Below are 21724 nucleotides of genomic sequence, written 5' to 3'. Positions count from 1 at the left end.
GTTTAAAAAAAAAAAAAAAAAAAAAAAAGACAACTTTCGGGACCATTTTCCTTTCAAAGCTGCCTTTTCTTTGTAAAGTTGATTGCAAAAGTATACAACCAATTAATGAGTACAGAGTTTCTGCTTGGGATGATGGAAAAATTCTGGAAATGGATAGTGGTGATGGTTGCACAGCATTGCAAATGTGCTTAATGTCATTGACATGTACACTGAAAAGTGGTTAAAATGGTGTCTGAGTCTGTGCAGGCTGCTGGAACAAAATACCATAAACTGGGTGGCTTGGAAATAACAGAAATTCATTTCTCACAGTTCTGGAGGCTGGGAAGGACAAGATTAAGATGCCAGCAGATTCAGTGTATGATGAGGGACTATTTCCAGGTTGATCGATGGTGACTTTTCACTGTGTCCTCACTTGGTGGGAAGGGGAAAGGCAATGGTCTGAGGTTTCTCGTATAAAGAAACGAATCCCATTCCTGATGGTGGAGCCCTCATGACCTAATCACCTCCCCAAATCCCCACTTCCTAACATCATCACATTGGTGAGTAGGTTTCCATATATGAATTTTGGGGGGATGCCAACATTCAGATCATAGCAAATGGTCAATTTTATGTTATGTATTTTTACCACAATTTGAAAAAATGCAGTGTGTAGTGAAGGTTGTAAACTAGCAGCCTATTGATTAAATGTGCTCTCAGACATGTTTGTTCATCCTCATGCTGTTTTGGCCATTAGTGTGTAATAATAATTAAATCATTTCCAACATTTAAAAATCTGGAGATTTTGTATTAAAATCCCTTTAAAAATCTGGGCTATCTAGAAACTCCGAACCCACATTGTTACTTAGGGAGGATCAGCTGGTGCCAAGAGAGGCATGTCCTCCCAATCCCTGGATGGAGCCGACACCTCTTACCACTCCTTATTGTGTTCTTGTCACCCTGGTGCTTGCTCTGTTGTTTCTCTTTTCAGAATTAAAAGAATGGTGAAACAACTGTATAGCCACATCTCTACAAAGATCAGAAAATGAAAGACTTAACAGGGCCTTGTGTTTCAAGAAAAGTGGGAGAAAACACATTTCTTGGTGGAAGTGAAGCTACATGTTTAATGTGTAAACAAAGTATGTCCCAAGAATATAATCTGGCCAAGTTATTTTTATTACCTACCCAGCTCCTGAGGGCAATTGTGTTTACCTTACCTCCCTGATTTATATAGACTCTTTATTACTTTTAAGTTTTAAATAATTTATGTAAAGTAAAAACCTAACAAAATTTCAAGGACATGCAACATCTCTAATTTTCATCAAGTCTTTGGCTAGGAAACGTGCCCAGACTTTGAGCTTGTTGGGAACAATGTGGGGTATCAATTAAGTGATCGATTAAAAGATTGTTCTCAGTGTTTGTACATAGAAAAAACAATGATACATTTTCTGTGTTCTGTGTGTGTGTGAAAGGGGTCACGTAGATCTGTGTGATTCATTGGCACATGGACTCATTGTTTGTGCCAAATCAATCAGTAGACATGGGAACATTAAATCATTGTATGTCAACATCGCTGTGGAAAAAAAAGGTTCTGGTACACAGAATGGGCACATCCTGTCACCAGAAAAAGTGCACCGACTTCTTTTTGAAAGTAAAAATATAGTAAACACCAGATATTCTGGCACTATGATTTATTCTAATCTAAAATATCCTAACACTTCTAAATATTAAGAACTAAATTTTAGTTCTTTTCCTGCTGGATGACCTTACCTAGGAACATCTTTGCTTGGTAATAAGAATGCAGTGAATTACTGCATTGCTGGATGATAGTTGAAAACAACGCTTAATGTGAATGCAAATGTCCGATTTCTACTTAGAAATGGAGGAGTGCACAAGTATCTCTCGACCCCTATCTGACATCTGTTGGTGTCCCATGACATTAGAAAATACCCGTGACCCAGACCAAGTCATGCACCAGCATAGAGGGTATATTCATTTTCTAGAGCTGCCTAAAAAGGACCACAAACTGGGTGGCATTAAACAATAGAAATCTATTCGGGTTTGGCTCTAGACATTAGAAATGTGAAATATAGATGTCAGCAGGGCCAAGCTCCCTCTGAAGGCTTTAGGGAAGACTCTGTCCCATGGCTTTCTCTTAGCTTCCGGTGTTGCCAGCAATCCTTGGCATCCCTAAGCTGGTAGATGCATCACTCTAATCTCTGCCTTCATTGGCACATGTCATTCTCCCTGTGTGTTTTTACGTGTCCCTTCTCTTCTTTTTTTTGAGATGGAGTCTCACACTGTCGCCCAGGCTGGAGTGCAATGGCACGATTTCGGCTCACTGCAACCTCTGCCTCCTAGGTTCAAGCAACTCTCCTGCCTCAGCCTCCTGAGTATATGGGATTACAGGCACCCGCCACCACGCCCGGCTAATTTTTTTTTTTTTTTGTATTTTTAGTAGAGATGGGGTTTCACCATGTTGGCCAGGCTGGTCTCGCACTCCTGACCTCAGGTGATCCGCCTGCCTCGGCCTCCCAAAATGCTGGGATTACAGGAGTGAGTCACCACGCCTGGCTTCTTCTCTTCTTTTAAAGACCACAGTCATATTGGGTTAGGGCCCACCGAAATGTCCTCATCATAACTTGATTACATCTGCAAAGATTCTATTTCCAAGTAAGGTTACAGGTTAGGACTTCAGCATATCTTTTTCGGGGGTACAATTCAACCCATAACAGAGGGACAGCACAGTGGACAGACCAAGATCCTTGAATTAACTCTTTAATTAGACTCTGACCCAGCCACATCTCATCTCAGCCATGGCTACCTTGCTTTCTTCCCTCATTTTGGTTTTGGAATCATCTCCTGCTTTACCCTTCTTCCATGATGGTCAATGTCAACTTTCATCAATGTATAGGTTTCTGACTGTGAACAGTCCCCTGTTGGCATGCTCTTTCCTTACTCCAAACCCTAGAAATAGAACTTCTTGATTGGAACCTAGAAAGCCATTCCTATAAATCACTCCTATCGATCACCTTCCTCCTGCCTTAAATCTTCCCTGGGTTGCACAGGTTTTCCATTGTCATCATTTCAGTCACCTCCTTGTAACTCTTCTGTCCTGCCATCCTTCCCTTTCACCCACTTGTTGGAACCCAGCCTTGAATAAGTCCATTTCTTTAGTCTGGGCTCACACCTGGGCAGCTGAGCGCTGTGAGAGGAAATCAAATCTGTTTACCTAGTTAGCTTTCTCTTCAGTTTTCTGCATGGGCATTTCATCGCATCCATAAAATCCTTAAACCTGTGACATCATCAGTTTCCTCTCGTCAACATGTTTCTCCCCTGAACTCTTAATTCATGAGGAAAATACACCTGTACCTTCTTAAATACATGGGGAAAACACAAGGTACCTTCTTCTTTTTTTTTTTAAAAACGGAGTCTCACTCTATTGCCCAGGCTGGAGTGCAATGGCATGATCTCTGCTCACTGCAACCTCTGCCGCCCAGGTTCAAGCAAATCTCCTGCCTCAGCCTCCTGAGTAGCTGGGATTACAGGCTCCTGCCACTGTGCCTGGCTAATTTTTGTATTTTTAGTAGAGACAGGGTTTCATCATATTGGCCAGGCTGGTCTCGAGCTCCCGACCTCAGGTGATCCACCTGCCTTGACCTCCTAATGTGCTGGGATTACAGGCATGAGCCACTGAGCCCAGCCGGTGTTTTTTTTTTTTTTTTTTTTTTGACAGGTTTGGCTTTCACCCTGATTCTCCTGCCTCAGCCTCCCAAGTAGCTGGGATTACAGGCATCTGCCACCATGCCCAGCTAATTTTTGTATTTTTAGTGGAGATGGGGTTTCACCATGTTGGTCAGGCTGGTCTTAAACTCCTGACCTCAGGTGATCTGCCTGCCTCAGCCTCCCAAAATGCTGGGATTACAGGTGTAAGCCAGTGCGCCTGGCCTGTTTCTTAAATATTAGTGTTCTTTGATTTCTGCCCTTGGCTTTTTTTTTTTTTTTCTTTTTTTTTTTGAGACGGTCTCCTTCTGTCACCCTGGCTAACTGCACTCTTGACTTCCCTGGCTCAGGTGATCCTCCTACCTCAGCCTCCTGAGTAGCTGGGATTACAAGCATGCACCATCAGGCCTGGCTAGTTTTTTATTTTTTGTAAGAGATGGGGTCTCACTATGTTGCCCAGGCTTGTCTCGAACTCCTGGGCTCAAGGGATCCTCCTGTCTCTGCCTCCCAAAATGCTGGGTTTAGAGGTGTGAGCCGCTACGCCTGGCCCCTTTGGCTCTCTTTGTTCCTCATTCTAAACAGTTTCCCATGGGATTTCTGTCACTCCCATGAATTTATCACTGACAATTTCCAAGTCTATAGCTCTAGCTCGGATCACTCCAAAGGCTCACATTCACATATCCAACTGTCTACTAGACAACTCCACTTAGATGTTTCCCATGAACACTGCAAATGCAACGTGTCAAAAATCAAACGTGGGCCGGGCGCCATGGCTCACGCCTGTAATCCCAGCACTTTGGGAGGCCGAGGCAGGCAGATCTCCAGGTCAAGAGATTGAGACCATCCTGGCCAACATGGTGAAACCTTGTCTCTACTAAAAAAAAAAAAAAAAAAAAGAAAAATACAAAAATTAGCTGGGCATGTTGGCACATGCCTGTAGTCCCAACTACTCGGGAGGCTGAGGCAGGAGAATCATTTGAACCCGGGAGGCGGAGGTTGCAGTGAGCCAAGATTGCACCACTGCACTCCAGCCTGGCCAGCCTGGGCAACAAGAGCAAAACTCCGTCAAAAAAAAAAAAAAAAAAAATCAAACGCATAACCTCTACTCCTCAGCCCCTTTCTGTCTTGCTTTAACTCCTGGGTTTCCCCACTCAGTTAATCAATCCTTACCTCATTTACCCAAACCAGAGACCGAGTGTCAGCTGAGGCAGATGTCCTTTGGGTCTTAACCATGCCATTGCATTCCTGCCTGTTGCCAATGGCCTGTATTGGTATCTTTTTTGCCTAAGGACCTTTTAGAAAGCAACAAAAGCCTGCTCTGGTTTGTGCAGAACAAGCTAGAAATGCTGAGGAAATAAAGCCATTGGCCAGTGATTCATGGGAATTGGTTTATAAATGCCCCAGCTCCTCACCCCCTTGAGTGGGACAACTAAAGCATTTGTTTTATCCCATTTCACAGGATGTCTCCATGGAATATGCTCCAGGCTTTCACAGCACAGTTGGCTAATGGGGCCAACCCTTGATTGGCTGCTTTTCCTTCTTCATTTCACTTTCCTACCAATATTCCCCATTCTTTACAGATAAACTACTTGCATTTGAATCCCTGCCTTGAGGTCTGTTTCTGGAGAAAACCAAAGTAAGACATCATTCTTCTTTGCACTCTCTTCCTTTCCCCTTCTTCCAGTCAATCACCAAGTTCTATTAATTCTACCTCATAATTATTTCGAAAAGCTGGCCACTTCCCACTGCCATCACCTGTAGCCTGCAACACTGCTCCCCTCTCCTTCCTGCCTCCCTCCAATTTGTTCCCCTTTGATCTTTTTTCTTTTTTCAGGTAGTAACCATTTAAATATGCAAATTTGACTATATTACCATTACCCTAGGCTTCTTAGGTCTCAATTTACATGTAACTTCCTGGGAGAAGCTTTCCTCAATTTTCTTTCAATTCTAGGTACCTATTAAAAGAATTAGCTTGTCATTTCCCTTTTAGAGCACCTCACACACTATACAGTGATTCTTTTTTTTTTTTTTTTTTTTTTTTTTGAGACAGTCTCGCTCTGTTGCCCAGGATAGAGTGCAGTGGCCCGATCTCGGCTCACTGCAAAATCCTCCTCCCGGGATCACGCTGAGAGGTGACAGCATGCTGGTAGTCCTCAGAGCCCTCGCTTGCTCTCGGCACCTCCCCTGCCTGGGCTCCCACTTTGGTGGCATTTGAGGAGCCCTTCAGCCCCCCACTGCACTGTGGGAGCCCCTTTCTGGGCTGGCCGAGGCTGGAGCCCACTCCCTCAGCTTGCAGGGAGGTGTGGAGGGAGAGGCACGAGCTGGAACCGGGGCTGCGTGCGGCGTTTGCGGGCCAGCTGGAGTTCCGGGTGGGCGTGCGCTTCGTGGGCCCCGCACTCGGAGCAGCCAGCCAGCCCTGCTGGCCCCGGGCAATGGGGAACTTAGCACCCGGGCCAGTGGCTGCGGAGGGTGTACTGGGTCCCCCAGCAGTGCCGGCCCACCTGTGCTGTGCTCGATTTCTCGCCGGGTCTTAGCTGCCTTCCCGCGGGGCAGGGCTCAGGGACCTGCAGCCCGCCATACCTGAGCCTCCCACCCACTCCATGGGCTCCTGTGCGGCCGGAGCCTCCCCGACGAGCACCACCCCCTACTCCACAGTGCCCAGTCCCATCGACCACCCAAGGGCTGAGAAATGCGAGCGCACGGCGCAGGACTGGCAGGCAGCTCCACCTGCAGCCCCGGTGCGGGATCCACTAGGTGAAGCCAGCTGGGCTCCTGAGTCTGGTGGGGACGTGGAGAGTCTTTATATCTAGCTCAGGGATTGTAAATACACAAATCAGCACCCTGTGTTTAGCTCAAGGTTTGTGAGTGCACCAATCGACACTCTGTATCTAGCTGCTCTGTTGGGGCCTTGGAGAACCTTTATGTCTAGCTCAGGGATTGTAAATACACCAATCAGCACTCTGTATCTAGCTTAAGGTTTGTAAATACACCAATCAGCACCCTGTGTTTAGCTCAAGGTTTGTGAGTGCACCAATCGACACTCTGTATCTAGCTGCTCTGGTGGGGCCTTGGAGAACCTTTTTGTCTAGCTCAGGGATTGTAAATACACCAATCAGCACCCTGTGTTTAGCTCAGGGTTTGTGAGTTCACCAATCGACACTCTGTATCTAGCTGCTCTGGTGGGGCCTTGGAGAACCTTTATGTCTAGCTCAGGGATTGTAAATACACCAATCAGCACCCTGTGTTTAGCTCAGGGTTTGTGAGTTCACCAATCGACACTCTGTATCTAGCTGCTCTGGTGGGGCCTTGGAGAACCTTTATGTCTAGCTCAGGGATTGTAAATACACCAATCAGCACCTTGTGTTTAGCTCAGGGTTTGTGAGTTCACCAATCGACACTCTGTATCTAGCTGCTCTGGTGGGGCCTTGGAGAACCTTTATGTCTAGCTCAGGGATTGTAAATACACCAATCAGCACCCTGTGTTTAGCTCAGGGTTTGTGAGTTCACCAATCGACACTCTGTATCTAGCTGCTCTGGTGGGGCCTTGGAGAACCTTTATGTCTAGCTCAGGGATTGTAAATACACCAATCAGCACTCTGTATCTAGCTCAAGGTTTGTAAACACACCAATCAGCACCCTGTGTTTAGCCCAAGGTTTGTGAATGCACCAATCGACACTCTGTATCTAGCTGCTCTGGTGGGGCCTTGGAGAACCTGTGTGTCCAAACTCTGTATCTAACTAATCTGATGGGGACATGGAGAACCTTTGTATCTAGCTCAGGGATTGTAAACGCACCAATCAGCACCCTGACAAAACAGGCCACTGGGCTCTACCAATCAGCAGGATGTGGGTGGGGCCAGATAAGAGAATAAACGCAGGCTGCCCAAGCCAGCATTGGCAACCTGCTGGGGTCCCCTTCCACACTGTGGAAGCTTTGTTCTTTAGCTCTTTGCAATAAGTCTTGCTACTGCTCACTTTTTGGGTCCACGCTGCTTTTATGAGCTGTAACACTCACTGCAAAGATCTGCAGCTTCACTCCTGAGCCCAGCGAGACCACGAGCCCACCAGGAGGAACGAACAACTCCAGACGTGCTACCTTAAGAGCTGTAACATTCACCGCGAAGGTGTGCAGCTTCACTCCTGAGCCAGCGAGACCATGAACCCACCAGAAGGAAGAAACTCCAAACACATCTGAACATCAGAAGGGACAGGCTCCAGACATGCCACCTTAAGAGCTGTAACACTCACCGTGAGGGTCCACGGCTTCATTCTTGAAGTCAGTAAGACCAAGAACCCACCAATTCCGGACACACAATGATGGGATCACAGCTCATTGCCACCTTAAACTCCTGGGCTCAAGGGATCCCCCCACTGCAGCCTCCTGAGTGGCTGGGACTACAGGCACATGCCACTGAACCTGGCTAATTAAAACAAAATTTTTGTATGCATGGGGTCTCAGTTTGTTGTCCAGGCTGATCTCAAACTTCGGGGCTCAAGCAATCCTCCCACCTCAGCCTCCCAAAGTGCTAGAATTACAGGTGTGAACCACCATACCTGGCCTAAAAGCACAAGTTTTAGAATGAGACACACAAGCCAGAGTCCTGATTCTGCTGATTAAGCTGTGTAAGAAGAGGCAGGTTACTTTCTCTCCATGCCTCAGTTCTGTCATCTGTTAAAAGAATAAAGTGGTATCTACCTCATAGACTTTCTATGAAGATGAGATAGAATATGTAAAGAACTTAGCACACAACAAGCACTCAATAATTGATATCATCATCATTGCTATTGTATCATCTGTTAGTTGGAGAATATACCCTTATATTGCCTTATTTAGTCTTTATAATAATTCTATAATATAGGCAATGCTATAATCCCTATCTTACAAATAGAGAAATGGAGGCCTAGAGAGCTTTAAGTAACTTGCTTAATGATAATAACAACTACAAATGATATAATGGACTTTGGGGACTCAGGGGGAAGGTTTGGAGGGGAGTGAAGGATAAAAGACTACACATTGGATACAGTGTACACTGCTTGGGTGACAGGTGCACCAAAATCTCAGAAATCACCACTAAAGAACATATCCATGTAACCAAAAGCCACCTGTTCCCCAAAAACTATTGAAATAAAAATAAAATGAAAAAAATACAATAATAATAATAGCAAATAATTATAAATTGCTCACCATGTATCAGGTACTATTCTAAACTGTTTTCATGTGAATTCATTTATTTGTTAATCCTAAGAGGCAGATCTTTTTGTTATCTCCATTCGCAGAGAAGACTGAAACGCCGAAGTATGAAGTAACTTGTTTAAGGTAACGCAGCTCATATTGGTGGAAGTAGGATTCAATTTCACCTGGCTTCAGAGAATGTGCACTTAATCACTGTGCTATGCTACTGAAACCAGCCCAATTGTCCCACAGAACTGATATTTATGGTTTCTTTAAATAAACGTAAAAAGTAATCCTCCCAGTTTAAAAACTTGAGAAAGTTACTTTTGTCTTATCTGAGTTCCTTTCTCAGGAAACCAACCATCAGGACTCCCAGATAGTATCAAGGAGCTGAACCTCACCAGATCATTGCATCTGGACAATGGGACACCAGACTCCTCATGAGTCATGATGGATGAACTGACCACCTTCTTCCTGTTGACCAACTTCTCTTCCTAACCCCTCCCTAATTCCTGTCTTCCCTCACATGATTACATTTCTTCCCTGCTACATAAACTCCTAATTTTAGTCAGTCAGGAAGATGAACTTGAGACTGATCTCCCATCTCCTCTTCTGCAGCACCTGATTAAAGCCCTCCTCCCTGGCAAAATTCATTGTCTTGGTGATTGGCTTTCTGTGCAGCAGCAGTAGGACCTAGACTGAGCCTCTGATGTTTCAGTAACACTACCTCTCTAGTTCTATTATACAGTGGCATGGTTTGTAAAACAATTAACATAATGAATATAAAATAGAAAGTTGAGAAAAACACAAAAGCACATTTTGATTTTAAATTTAAGAATATCTAATAGGTAAATTCTCATCTACCTTCTGATACTATTCAGGGCAAAAAAATTTTAAAAAAAGTCAACATTTCACTGATCTAAATTCCTTTGAGCTCTCTACAATGGTACTTGTGGTTTTGTAACACAAATTGTCACAACTACTTAAGCTCTTTGGAAGAAAACAATTTTAATTTCAATGTCATGGATAAATACAGATTTTATGTGGTTTTGTTCAACCTAGACTCAGGCTCAGAACCTTTGCTCCTTGGAAATACACTTGGAACTCTCCTGGAAAATGTTACCTTTCTCTTTTCTCTATAATATTGATATATCTGTCACATTCTAGCAGGGCCCATGATTAATCTTAATGTGCAGGTGTTCCTAACTGAGGCTGGATGTTTGAATTTGCTTCATTCTATGCAGTCTGTTTTAATTTTGATTAATTGCCATCAGGAATAATAACTCCTCAGGGTAGATCATTAGGAAGCTACAAAATCGATTATGTTTAGCTACAGAATATGTAAAACTATTCACCACCACTGAAACAATCATAGATGCCCTTTATGTTGCATGTACAAGGAATGCTTAGGTTCATTACAACTGGGTTTCAGAATAAATCAAAATAGAGTTGGAAATGCTTTTTTATAAATAAGTTAGCTTTCAGACTTGCCCTTTCTTTTCCTTAATAAATTTTTCTAATTCTGCCATGAAAATCAGTGACCATAGTTAGTAATCATGGAAAGTAAGAATAATATGCTTTCCATATAGACTGGGGAATATATTTCAGTACACATTTGCAATAATGAATTGGCAGACTCATGAGCCCCTGAAGCATAATAAAAGACCCAAGCTTACCTACTATCCCCAACCCAAGACTATTGCCTTAGTTGAGGCCCCGCTGGCTTCACTTTGCAGCTAATGTACCAGCCTCCTGACTGCATCCAGCTTCCTCACCTCTTGTGTAGTTCACATTGCTACTACCAGAGCAATCTTCAACACAAATATCATAATCATGACCCTAATTAGAATCCTTCCATCGCTCAAGAGCACCTTCTCTATAGGATGCAAACCCCTGTTTGTAATATTCAGGGAAAACATTTTTAATGGCCTTCCATGGCTATACTAGTTATGTTAAGTCAAGAGATGGTGAGGTAAAAGACAACCTCCAATTCTCACTGGCAAAAGGCAATCACAATTTGTTTTCCACTCATTCAAAGTCTGCCATGTAAGGGGTATAGCTCATTGGTGGAGACTTTAGTTGAAACATCAGCCATCTTAACACAAATCATCCTCCATGACTGCTGCGGCAATAGAGAATCATGCCCTGGCATGTGAAGGCTTTGATCTAAAAATGGCACATTGCCTCAAGTCACAGTGCATCAGTCAGAATCTTTCCCATGGTCTTCCCCACCTGCAATAGGGCAAGGAAATATATCTTCAATCTAGGGTGGGGAGGAGAATTGGAAATATTGGTCAGCACAATGTCTACCATGATGGCCTTCTATATAACATGTAAACTCTTCAGCATAGCATTCAATGAAAGTCCTTCATGACTAGTTCCTTGCCCACCTTACTAGCCTCCCTGTCTCCAGTTTCTTCTTGATCCACTCACAACAATTTGCTCTTCCCACACCAGCTCGTACCTTTGCACCTGACCCTCATTATGCCTGGAACACTCTTGCTCCCCTTTTCCATCTGGCTATCTTGTATTCATACTTTAAGATTTATCTTAAATGCCACCTCTTCTAGGAAGCCTTGCTTGTGGCATCACTCCTTCAGGAGACCCTTTTCTGTGTACCCCAGTGCATTGTGGGCTCATTTCCGTATAGCTGCTGTCACATCTTATTGTTACTAAATGTCCATTTCCTCCATTAAACTGTGAAGTCATTGAGGGCAAAATTTCTGTCTGGTCTCTCTACTGCCCTACTTCAGTGGATTCTGATGTTTTTTGGCCTCTCCTTACCTTTGAAAATCTGACGAAAACTCTATATTCTAAACTATAAAGTCTAGACAAATTATTCTAAATTTTGCTAATAATTTCAAGAAGTTCTGAGATGCTCGATCGAAATCCATCTGTGGACCTTGGGAATCCAGGGACCTTTGGTTAAGAACCCCTGTACTAGCTCCTGGATACATCAAAATAATTTTCATCTACCAAGTGCTTAATGTGTGGCAGATGCTGTTTTGATCACTTCACATGATTTACCCCATTTATTCCTTATAATCATCATATAAAGTAGATACTGTAATTATCCCCAGTTTACAGATGAGGAAACTGAGGAACAGCATTTAAGTAACTTGCACAAGGCTATTCCTGAGCTTGCTCTCTTAACCACAACACTACATTGCTTCCCAGTCTCACTATGATAATATACACAGTACTCTACCTAAAAGACACCACATAAATGTCTGTGGAATGAACTATAGAATGATTGCAAGCAGTAATGCTATGCACCAGGAACTATGAATAGGGTTAAAATCATTCAGAAAATACAGAGGCTCAGCAATCAAGTTGAAACTGATTTTGCAAAAATTATAACCGAGGACATTAAGACAGAGAAATCTGACATGGCTGACTCCATTTTGTCTCTAGCCTCACAGGCTGGCTGTCTTTGCTCATTCCTGGGCATGGGCCAAGCTAACTTTGAGAGAAATTTATAGTTTAAATAATAGCCCTTCCCCAAAACCAAACTGTTCTTGTAAAACTAGTGAAAGGCCACCAATTTAGGATGAGAGGGGCTTGAATTCTAAATAATTACCAGCCATTATTCTAGAGCTCATAAGATTTGCAACTTCCCCAATTACTCTTGAAGATAACATCACTATTGTAGAACCTAAGACGGGCCTCTTGAGATGTCTTTTCAGGTTTTTACATTTCTTTCTTTCCTTTTTTTTTTTGAGGCAGAGTCTTGCCCTTGTCACCCAGGCGGGAGTGCAGTGGTGCGATCTCGGCTCACTGCAAACTCCGCCTCCCAGGTTCAAGCGATTCTCCTGCCTCAGCCTCCCGAGTAGCTGGGATTACAGGCGCCTGCCACCATGACCCGCTAATTTTTGTATTTTGAGTAGAGACGGGGTTTCGCCATGTTGGCCAGGCTGATCTCGAACTCCTGACCTCAAGTGATCTGTCCGTCTCAGCCTCCCAAAGTGCTGGGATTACAGGCGTGAGCCACTGTGCCCGGGAGGTTTTTGCATTTCTTTTTTTTTTTTTTTTTTTTTGAGACGAAGTCTGGCTCTGTCGCCCAGGCTGGAGTGCAGCGGCGCGATCTCGGCTCACTGCAAGCTCCGCCTTCCGGGTTCACACCATTCTCCTGCCTCAGCCTCCTGAGTAGCTGGGACTACAGTAGGCGCCCACCACCACGCCCGGCTAATTTTTTTGTATTTATAGTAGAGACAGGGTTTCACCGTGTTAACCAGGATGGTCTCGATCTCCTGACCTTGTGATCTGCCCGCCTCGGCCTCCCAAAGTGCTGGGATTACAGGTGTGAGCCACTGTGCCCGCCTGGTTTTTGTATTTCTGACAACCAGATGGCCCCAACTGGACCTGCCAACCAGTCCTGTGGTCCCCCCCGCCCACTCAGGAACTGACTCAGCATAAGAGAACAGCTTTGACTCCCTATGATTTCATCCCTGAGCCAACCAATCAGCACTCCTGACTCACTGGCCCCTTACCCATCAAATTTTCCTTAAAAACTCCAATCCTGGAATTCTCAGGGAGACTGATCTGAATAATAATAAAACTCTGGTCTCCCATACAGCCGGCTCTGTGTGAATTAAGCCCTTTCTCTATTGCAATTCCTCTGTCTTGATGAATTGACTCTGTCTAGGCAGTGGGCAAGGAGAACCAGCTGGGTGGTTACCAAATGGTTTGTAAATGCTGTGAGCTTTCTCAGTGGAGTAGATAACACAAGGTATGCACTACTCCAACCTTCAGGTAGCTTTAAGGTTAAGGGGTGAAAAGGTAAAGAACTTTCATTGAATACTTACTACATGCCTGATAATTGAGTTTGGTACCTTCTCAACAGACTGCAACATAAAATAGTGCCAGCAGACCTTGGTATATAATTGAATTTTGAGCTCGATATTGACCCTGAATATCGAATGGGAAAAAATGGGAAGGACTGATTGGGAAAAAGAAAAATGTAATATTCTCCAAGAGAGGCATTATTTAAACCACAGTTGGTAAAAATGTAACTGCTGTCTCTATGGACATCAACCATAGAATGGAAGTTTTACTGTTAGAATGGAGAAGGGTTAAGCAGTTAGGGGTGGGCGTTTCTTTTTATAAAGATAGGCCTTTCAAGTCTTTGGTGATAAGAAAGAGTTCTACAATTACAGTCCAATGGGAATAGGAGGAGCTTCACTCAAGTGTGCACATGCACACTTCTGCTTTGGTTTCAGAAAAGTGGGAAAGGAAGGCAGGAAAGAGAGAGAAAGAGATCACTATGTGCCAGTAATCACACCAAATTATTCTGAATAGAGTCTCTCAGGCTATCTAGCCTAGAGTTCCTGCTATGGTCGACGGTTCAAAGGTCAAATGCCTGGCACTTGGTTGGTGGAGGGGCCTGGCGGGAAGACTTTTCCTCCCTTAAGAAACTTACCGTCGGCTGGGCGTGGTGGCTCATGCCTGTAATTCCAGCACTTTGGGAGGCTGAGGCAGGTGGATCACGAGGTCAGGAGTTCGAGACCAGCCTGGCCAACGTGGTGAAACCCTGTCTCTGCTAAAAATATAAAAATTAGCTGGGCATGGTGGTGCATGCCTGTAGTCCCAGCTACTGGGGAGGCTGAGGCAGAAGAATCGCTTGAACCCAGGGGGCAGAGGTTGCATGAGCCAAGATTTCACCACTGTACTCCAGCCTGGGCAACAAAGTGAGACTCTATCTCAAAAAAAAAAAAAAAAAAAAAAAGAAAAGAAATGTGTGGTCATACGTTTGTTGGCTGCATAAATGTCTTCTTTTTAGAAGTGTCTGTTCATATCCTTTGCCCATTTTTTGATGGGGTTGTTTTTTTCTTGTGAATTTGTTTGAGATACCATCTCACACCAGTTAGAATGGCAATTATTAAAAAGTCAGGAAACAGGCTGGGCGCAGTGGTTCACGCCTGTAATCCCAGCACTTTGGGAGGCCGAGGTGGGCAGATCACGAGGTCAGGAGATCAAGACCATCCTCGCCAACATGGTGAAACCCCGTCTCTACTAAAATACAAAAAATTAGCTGGGTGTGGTGGCATGCACCAGTAATCCCAGCTACTCGGGAGGCTGAGGCAGGGGATTTGATTGAACCTAGGAGGTGGAGGTTGCAGTGAGCTGAGATCACGCCACTGCACTCCAGCCTGGCAACAGAGCAAGACTCTACCTCAAAAAAAAAAAAAAAAAGAAAAGAAAAGTCAGGAAACAACAGATGCTGGTGAGGCTGTGGAGAAATAGGAATGCTTTTACACTGTTGGTGGGAGTGTAAATTAGTTCAACCATTATGGAAAACAGTATGGCAATTCCTCAAGGATCTAGAACCAGAAATACCGTTTGACTCAGCAATCCCATTACTGGGTATATATTCAAAGGATTATAAATCATTCTACTATAAATACACATGCGGACGTATGTTTACTGCAACACTATTTACAACAGCAAAGACTTGGAAACAACCCAAATGCTCATCAACAATAGGCTGGATAAAGAAAATGTGGCACATATATACCATGGAATACTATGCAGCTATAAAAATGAATGAGTTCATGTCCTTTTCAGGGACATGGATGAAGCTGGAAACCATCATTCTCAGCAAACTAACACAGGAACAGAAAACTAAACACCGCATCTTCTCACTTATCAGTGGGAACCGAACAATGAGAACACGTTGACACAGGGAGGGGAATATCACACACCAGGGCCTGTCGGGGGGTGGGGAACAAGGGGAGGGAGAGCATTAGGATAAATACCTAATACATGTGGGGCTTAAAACCTAGATGATGGGTTGATAGGTGCAGCAAACCACCATGGCACACGTATACCTATGTAACAAACCTGCACGTTCTGCACATGTATCCCGGAACTTAAAGTGAAATAAAATAAAACAGAAACATACGGTCTACTTAGAGAGACAAGACGGAATGTTATTGAAACCCCCATCGCAAAATTATAACTGAGACAGTGAAAGAGATCTGACGTATCCAACTCCATCTTGCCTTTAACCTCCAAGCTGTCCTTGTTCATTCCTGGGTGTAGGCGGAACCAACTTTGGGAGGAACTTAGTTTGTAGTTTATAGTTTAAAACAAAGACAATAATAGTCCTTTCCCAAAACAAACCCCCTTCCTGCCTGGGGGCTAGACTGCCTTTGTAGGACTAACAAATTAGCCAAAAGATTAGAAATTATGGTTTAGGAGTCAAGCAGCTGGAGGCTACAAGAGTCTGACCCTCCCCAAATTGCTCCTGGATATAACATCACTGTGGTAAAACCTAAGAACAGTGCTTGGGATATTTTGCAGACCTTGAGCTTGATGGATCAGCTGGCACCACTGAGATGGATAAATTGGCTCATCTGATCTTGTGGCCCCCACCCAGGAACTGACTCAGGGCAAGGTGACAGCTTCTCTGACCTAACCAATCAGCACTGCCAACTCACTGCCTCCCTCCCACCCCTGCCCCACCAAATTATACCTAAAAACCCTGATCCCCGAATGCACAAATGCTCAGGGAGACTAATTTGAGTAATAATAAAACTCCAGTCTCCCACGAAGTTGGTTCTGTGTGAATAACTCTTTCTTTATTGCAATTCCTCTGTCTTGATAAATTGGCTCTGTCTAGGTAGTGGGCAAGGAGAACCTGTCAGGCAGTTACATTACGGCATACTACATTAGCAATTCTAAGATTGTCCGCGAGCAATTTCAGTCATACTCAGGAAGACCTAAAAACAAGGAAAATAGATTTGGTGTCATTCATCCTACATGGTTTCTTTCTTTCCTTTTTTTTTTTTTTTTTGTGATGGAGTCTCACTCTGTCACCGAGACTGCAGTGCAGTGGCACGATCTCCGCTCACTGCAACCTCCGCTTCCCGGGTTCAAGGGATTCTCCTGCCTTAGCCTCCTGAGTAGCTGGAATTACAGGCGTGCACCACCACATTCAGCTAATTTTTGTATTTTTAGCAGAGACAAGATTTCACCATGTTGGCCAGGCTGGTCTTAAACTCCTGACCTCAGGTGATCCACCCACTTCAGCTTCTCGAAGTGTTGGGATTACAGGCATGAGCCACCGTGCCCAGCCCTCCATGGTTTCTAAGGATAATCATATTGTATTCTGCAAATCCTGACTCAGGAAATACATCTCCAGATAAACTTTGAACCATTTCTAGCCTGTGCAAAGAGGTGGCCCAGGTCTGCACAGGGCCAATGTATAATCCTAAAGCTCTTGAAGATATGAATCTGCATGCCCGTTTGGAGGTGGGTGGAGGAAAGGGTATCCAAATCAACTTCAAGGATCAAGGGTAGGTGACATTGGTCATTGTCCGAGTTTCTGTTCTCACTGCTCAAGTTTGTGTCCTCAACAGTCAAAGTACTTGCAAATGTATCTCACGAATTGCTTTGACATTTTTCCTGTCAGTCTTTTTCATTGCCCTCACATTTATCTACGTCACTGGCTCTAGATATGTTGGTTTTTCAGTGTCAATATATTTGGATTAAGGAGGATGATTTAAAGAACAAAGTAATATGGGATTTTTAAAGAAAAATATTTGGAACTAAATTTGGGGGAACATTTCTGGTTTCATTGTTTATAACATAGAAAAAATGTCTTATATTAGCAAGTCATTTAAAAATATTTGGTTGAAAATGTTTTTAAAATGTTCTAATATTAGCTTGAATATTCTGTATAACTATGCTTGCTGTCTTTTTTTTTTTTTTTAGATGGAGTTTCACTCTGTCGCCCAGGCTGGAGTGCGGTGGCGTGATCTCAGCTCACTGCAATCTCTGCCTCCCGGGTTCAAGTGATCCTCTTGCCTCAGCCTCCTGAGTAGCTGGGATTACAGGTGCGTGCCTCCAAGCCCAGCTAATTTTTGTATTTTTAGTAGAGACGGGGTTTCACCATGTTGGTCAGGCTGGTCTCGAACTCCTCACCTCGTGATCTGCCCGCCTCGGCCTCCCAAAGTGCTGGGATTACAGGCATGAGCCATTGCACCCAGCCTACACTGTCTTAAATTATAATCTATTTGGAACTCTTACTTTGAAATACAGTCATTTTCTCTTGCAAATCATCTGAAGGGGACTAAATCAAGCCAGCTTTCCACTGACTTACAGTCTCAGACTCTAATTATACAGTCTGCATCTCAAGTTGTGTTGTAATTCATTAAAATTCTTTTTGCCCCTTTTCAGTTGGATGCATTTCAGCATTCTAAATTTTAGTCTCTTCCGGGTTCAGAAAAAATGTAGACAGTTAATAGAGTATATTTGTTTCTCATTTGTTTGTTAATTTGATTTTGTAATGATCTCTTTGTCCCTTCATTTCTGTAACCCATGGTGGCGCCTATCATAACCAGTCAATATGCAAATTTTCCTAGAGGCTGGCCCATCCAGTCCCATAGCAAAAGAATTCTGATTCTGCAAAATGATTTGCATTTGGATGAAGGATTCCCACCACATGTATGAATTTGCACCTGGATGCAAATCCAGGAAGAGTGGGCTTAGGGGTGGGCGCTGGGGAGAAGGAGTTGGAGTCTTTGGGGTGAAGGAAGGAGGTGTTACACTATGTGAAGACTGCAACTTTGTGCCCAAAACAGGAGTGAGAGTGAAGCATTCATTTTTGCCCTTCTGGAAGGTCTGCATAGGTGCGTAGCCATTAGATGTCAGCAGGTCAACTGCATATTGTCAGGGCAGTCGAATTTATGTCAGTAGTCTGGCCTTTGGCTTTCACAGATCTCTCTGGGCGGCCTGACTAGGAGAGGTTATCAGGTCCCCTGCCTGCTTGGTGGGGGTCAGTGTTTAACTTCTTTAAACTCTGCTTGGGAATGTGTATCTTTCCTGCTTGTGGACCACATCGTTTTTGTTACTAGGCACCTGGGGAAGCCTTGAAGTATTCCTACTAGGGATGTGTATCCTTGGAGTTGCCCATGTGACGTTTATCTTTGCTTTCCTGGTGTTTGCTATCTGGAGAGGATTATCCAGGGAGTAGTTTGGCTTAGGTGTGAGGCTGATCCTCTCATTTCTTCTCACCCAGTGAAAACATTACAAACCGAATATAATCCCATGGGGAAGAGTAGACTCCAATGAGAAAATACAAGCAGTCAAGGACCAACAGTTGAGGATTAGTGGAAATGAGATACAGAATACTTTTCCCCCCAATTTTTTTAGAGAAGAAAGGACTGTAATTTAGACTGTAATTTACCCTAGAATTTTACATTGTGTTTTAAGATGTGAACTGGAGACTCTTTTAGGAACTATTGCTTGCCCAAATTCAAAAGGGAAAATAAAGCTAGAAATAACTTTGAATACACATCCAATTATAAGAATATGATTTTACAGGTCTAGATAGAGAAAACATGATTTTAAAATTATAGATGATAGCGCAATATGTGTTAATAATCTCATATAGAAATTAAATTAGATTGCTTATCATATTTTTTGCATTTTACTTAATGTAGTTTTACTAAATAGGGATTTTCAAATGTAGTTCACTATTGCTAATGCAGTGATTATACTAAGGGTTACTCATTTAAAATAAAAATTTTGAGCTGATTAGGAATTTTATCCAATTACATTGGTCCATTAAAAAATACAATATCCATAGGTTGGCTAAACAGCAGATGCCTAAGTGCTGAAATTATTGCTAGAAATTTAAAAGCTATCTCCCTAGATTTCTCATTTGTCCTTTGGAACATGGTGTATCAAAGGATCTTATTCTGCAAGTTTTTGTAAGATTTTAACAGCTCTCCCTTTAAATCCTTTCTAAAAGAGTCATTTTTTCTTTCAAAGGTGACTGATTTGGGCTTTGAATCCCTGTGAACCCTCTGGGTTACATTAAGGGGTCCTGGAATCTACATATCAAGTATTATCAAGGACAGAATAACGTATTGCAATATGTGTACTGCTCTTTTTCATGCGTAAGTAGCTTTGTAATGATGAATAAATACAAAATGTGCGGCTTTCGTGGTAACTTTTGGTGTTCTCAATCAACAGAGATGAAAACAAAACTGCTATTTTTGGGTAAAAAACAGGCTCTCCTACTTGAAAAGCTTGGAAACTCCTAGAAACTATGAGTAGAAAGTGCCACCAATATGACAAGCTTCCGTTTCCACTACAGTGCCTTGTGTGCCTCTGAACTCCAAGTGGTCAAAGGAGTCATTCAGTTCTAAGAGTGAATCATGCTTATGTAACATACTGGTAGCAAAAGTGTACAGCATTAGGGTTTGTGAAAAAAGGGAGCACATTCAAGTCATCTATTAACATGGAGTCTTTGAGTTTTTGCATTTTTTTCTGTTTTGCTCTCAAATTACCACATTGGAGCTAAGCAGATGACAGCTGACTATAGAGGTCTATAAACTCATTTTCGTCTTGTGTTGAGCCAGCCAGGACCCACTGAATCATGATTAAGGAGAGAACTCAATGAAATGCCCCCAACTCCGCCCCATTTCCCAAGCTGAGCTGCATTTCTCCCACTTGAGATCATTGCTGGGTCAGAAAAACAGGAGCAAGGGGAAGAGAGGCCAGCTAGTGGCAGACGTACCACAAAGTACCAAGGCAACGTTACTAAGAGAAGGAGTCTTAGTTTGCAAAGGTTAGAATCACTAAGTAGCAGACAGCATACAATAGATATGAAGAGTCTGCCCCCATCACTCTGATACAAACAAGACCTAGAGTCTCACATTCAAATACAAGGGGTAGAGGAGGCATTTCTAATCATAGCCCCAAAGATGTCGACAACCAGGAAAATGTCTACTTGCATTCTGAGTAGGGAAATAAACCCATTCATTTTATATGCTCCATAGGAGTTTTTATTGTTTATAAATAATTACAGCTCTCTTTCATGTTGCAGCATTCTGGGTGGAAGAAGAGAAGGGAATTGGGCCTGTTAACCTTCGCATGTAACCAAGGAGCCGTTTATGACTGGCCAGGTGCAAATGCCATATCTAATCTTTCCCTGTGTCTGCTGTGCAGCAGCTGCAGCAGTTGGAGGGAGTTGGGGAGTTATTAAATATCAAGGAAATGTTTGTGCCAGGACTGTCCTACTTCTGGGTGGTAAGAGAAATGTACAAACTGTTTTCCATTTAGAAAGAGTGGCAAATGTTAACAGGGAAAAAGTTATTCTTAGTGAGATCCCAACAATGGGGTTGAGGGCAAAGTGACCCATCTGAGTCCAGAGGAAAATTTGGGCCCCTTTTCCAGTCTGTTGCCCCTATAGTTGCAAAAGCTTTTAAGTATATTTTCTTTACTCCCTCTGGATCTCTGATTATGAGCAGGGCACTCAGATACTCAAAGCCAAAGTATATTCCCCTGAGAAGCAAAAAACTTTCTTTAATTCCTATTAATGCCCAAGGACATTTGAAAGGTTAATAATATAATTTGGGTAAAGTAAAATGAGATCTTGAAGAGAAGGTATCATATAAAAGGGAGGTTTGTATGAGTTATTCTAATGATATGGCGTACTACAATTAACACTGGCTGTGAGAATATGAGTGTGAGCCTCAGCTCTAGGACTTTTTTTTTTTTTTTCTGAGACAGAGTCTCCCTCTGTCACTGTCACCCAGGCTGGAGCACAGTGGCACAATCTCGCCTCACTGCAAACTCCACCTCCCAGGTTCAAGCGATTCTTCTGCCTCAGCCTCCTGAGTATCTGGGACTACAGGCGTGCGCCACCACGCCTGGCTAATTTTTGTATTTTTAGTACAGATGGCTTTTCGCCATGTTGGCCAGGCTGGCCTTGAACTCCTGACCTCAGGTGATCCACCCACCTCGGCCTCTCAAAGTGCTGGGATTATAGGCATGAGCCCATGGATATATTATGTAGTGGTGAAGACTAGGCTTTTAGTGTATCTGTCATCTGAATAGTGT

General features: G+C 43.4%; 1 long non-coding RNA gene across 1 annotated transcript; it reads left to right on the top strand.

Annotated features, from left to right (window-relative positions):
* The first annotated feature begins 17587 nt into the window (after positions 1-17587).
* Positions 17588-21309, top strand: LOC107986579 (uncharacterized). Its single transcript, XR_001744022.2, has 3 exons — positions 17588-17709; positions 19649-19776; positions 20709-21309. It is a non-coding gene; the product is annotated as an uncharacterized LOC107986579 (long non-coding RNA).
* Positions 21310-21724: the final 415 nt, after the last annotated feature.

The sequence above is a fragment of the Homo sapiens genome, chromosome 6 (genome assembly GCF_000001405.40).
Source record: "Homo sapiens chromosome 6, GRCh38.p14 Primary Assembly".
Lineage (NCBI taxonomy): Eukaryota > Metazoa > Chordata > Mammalia > Primates > Hominidae > Homo > Homo sapiens.
The sequence above is the reverse complement of the archived record's forward strand: the minus strand, read 5'-3'. Positions and strand labels throughout refer to the sequence as shown.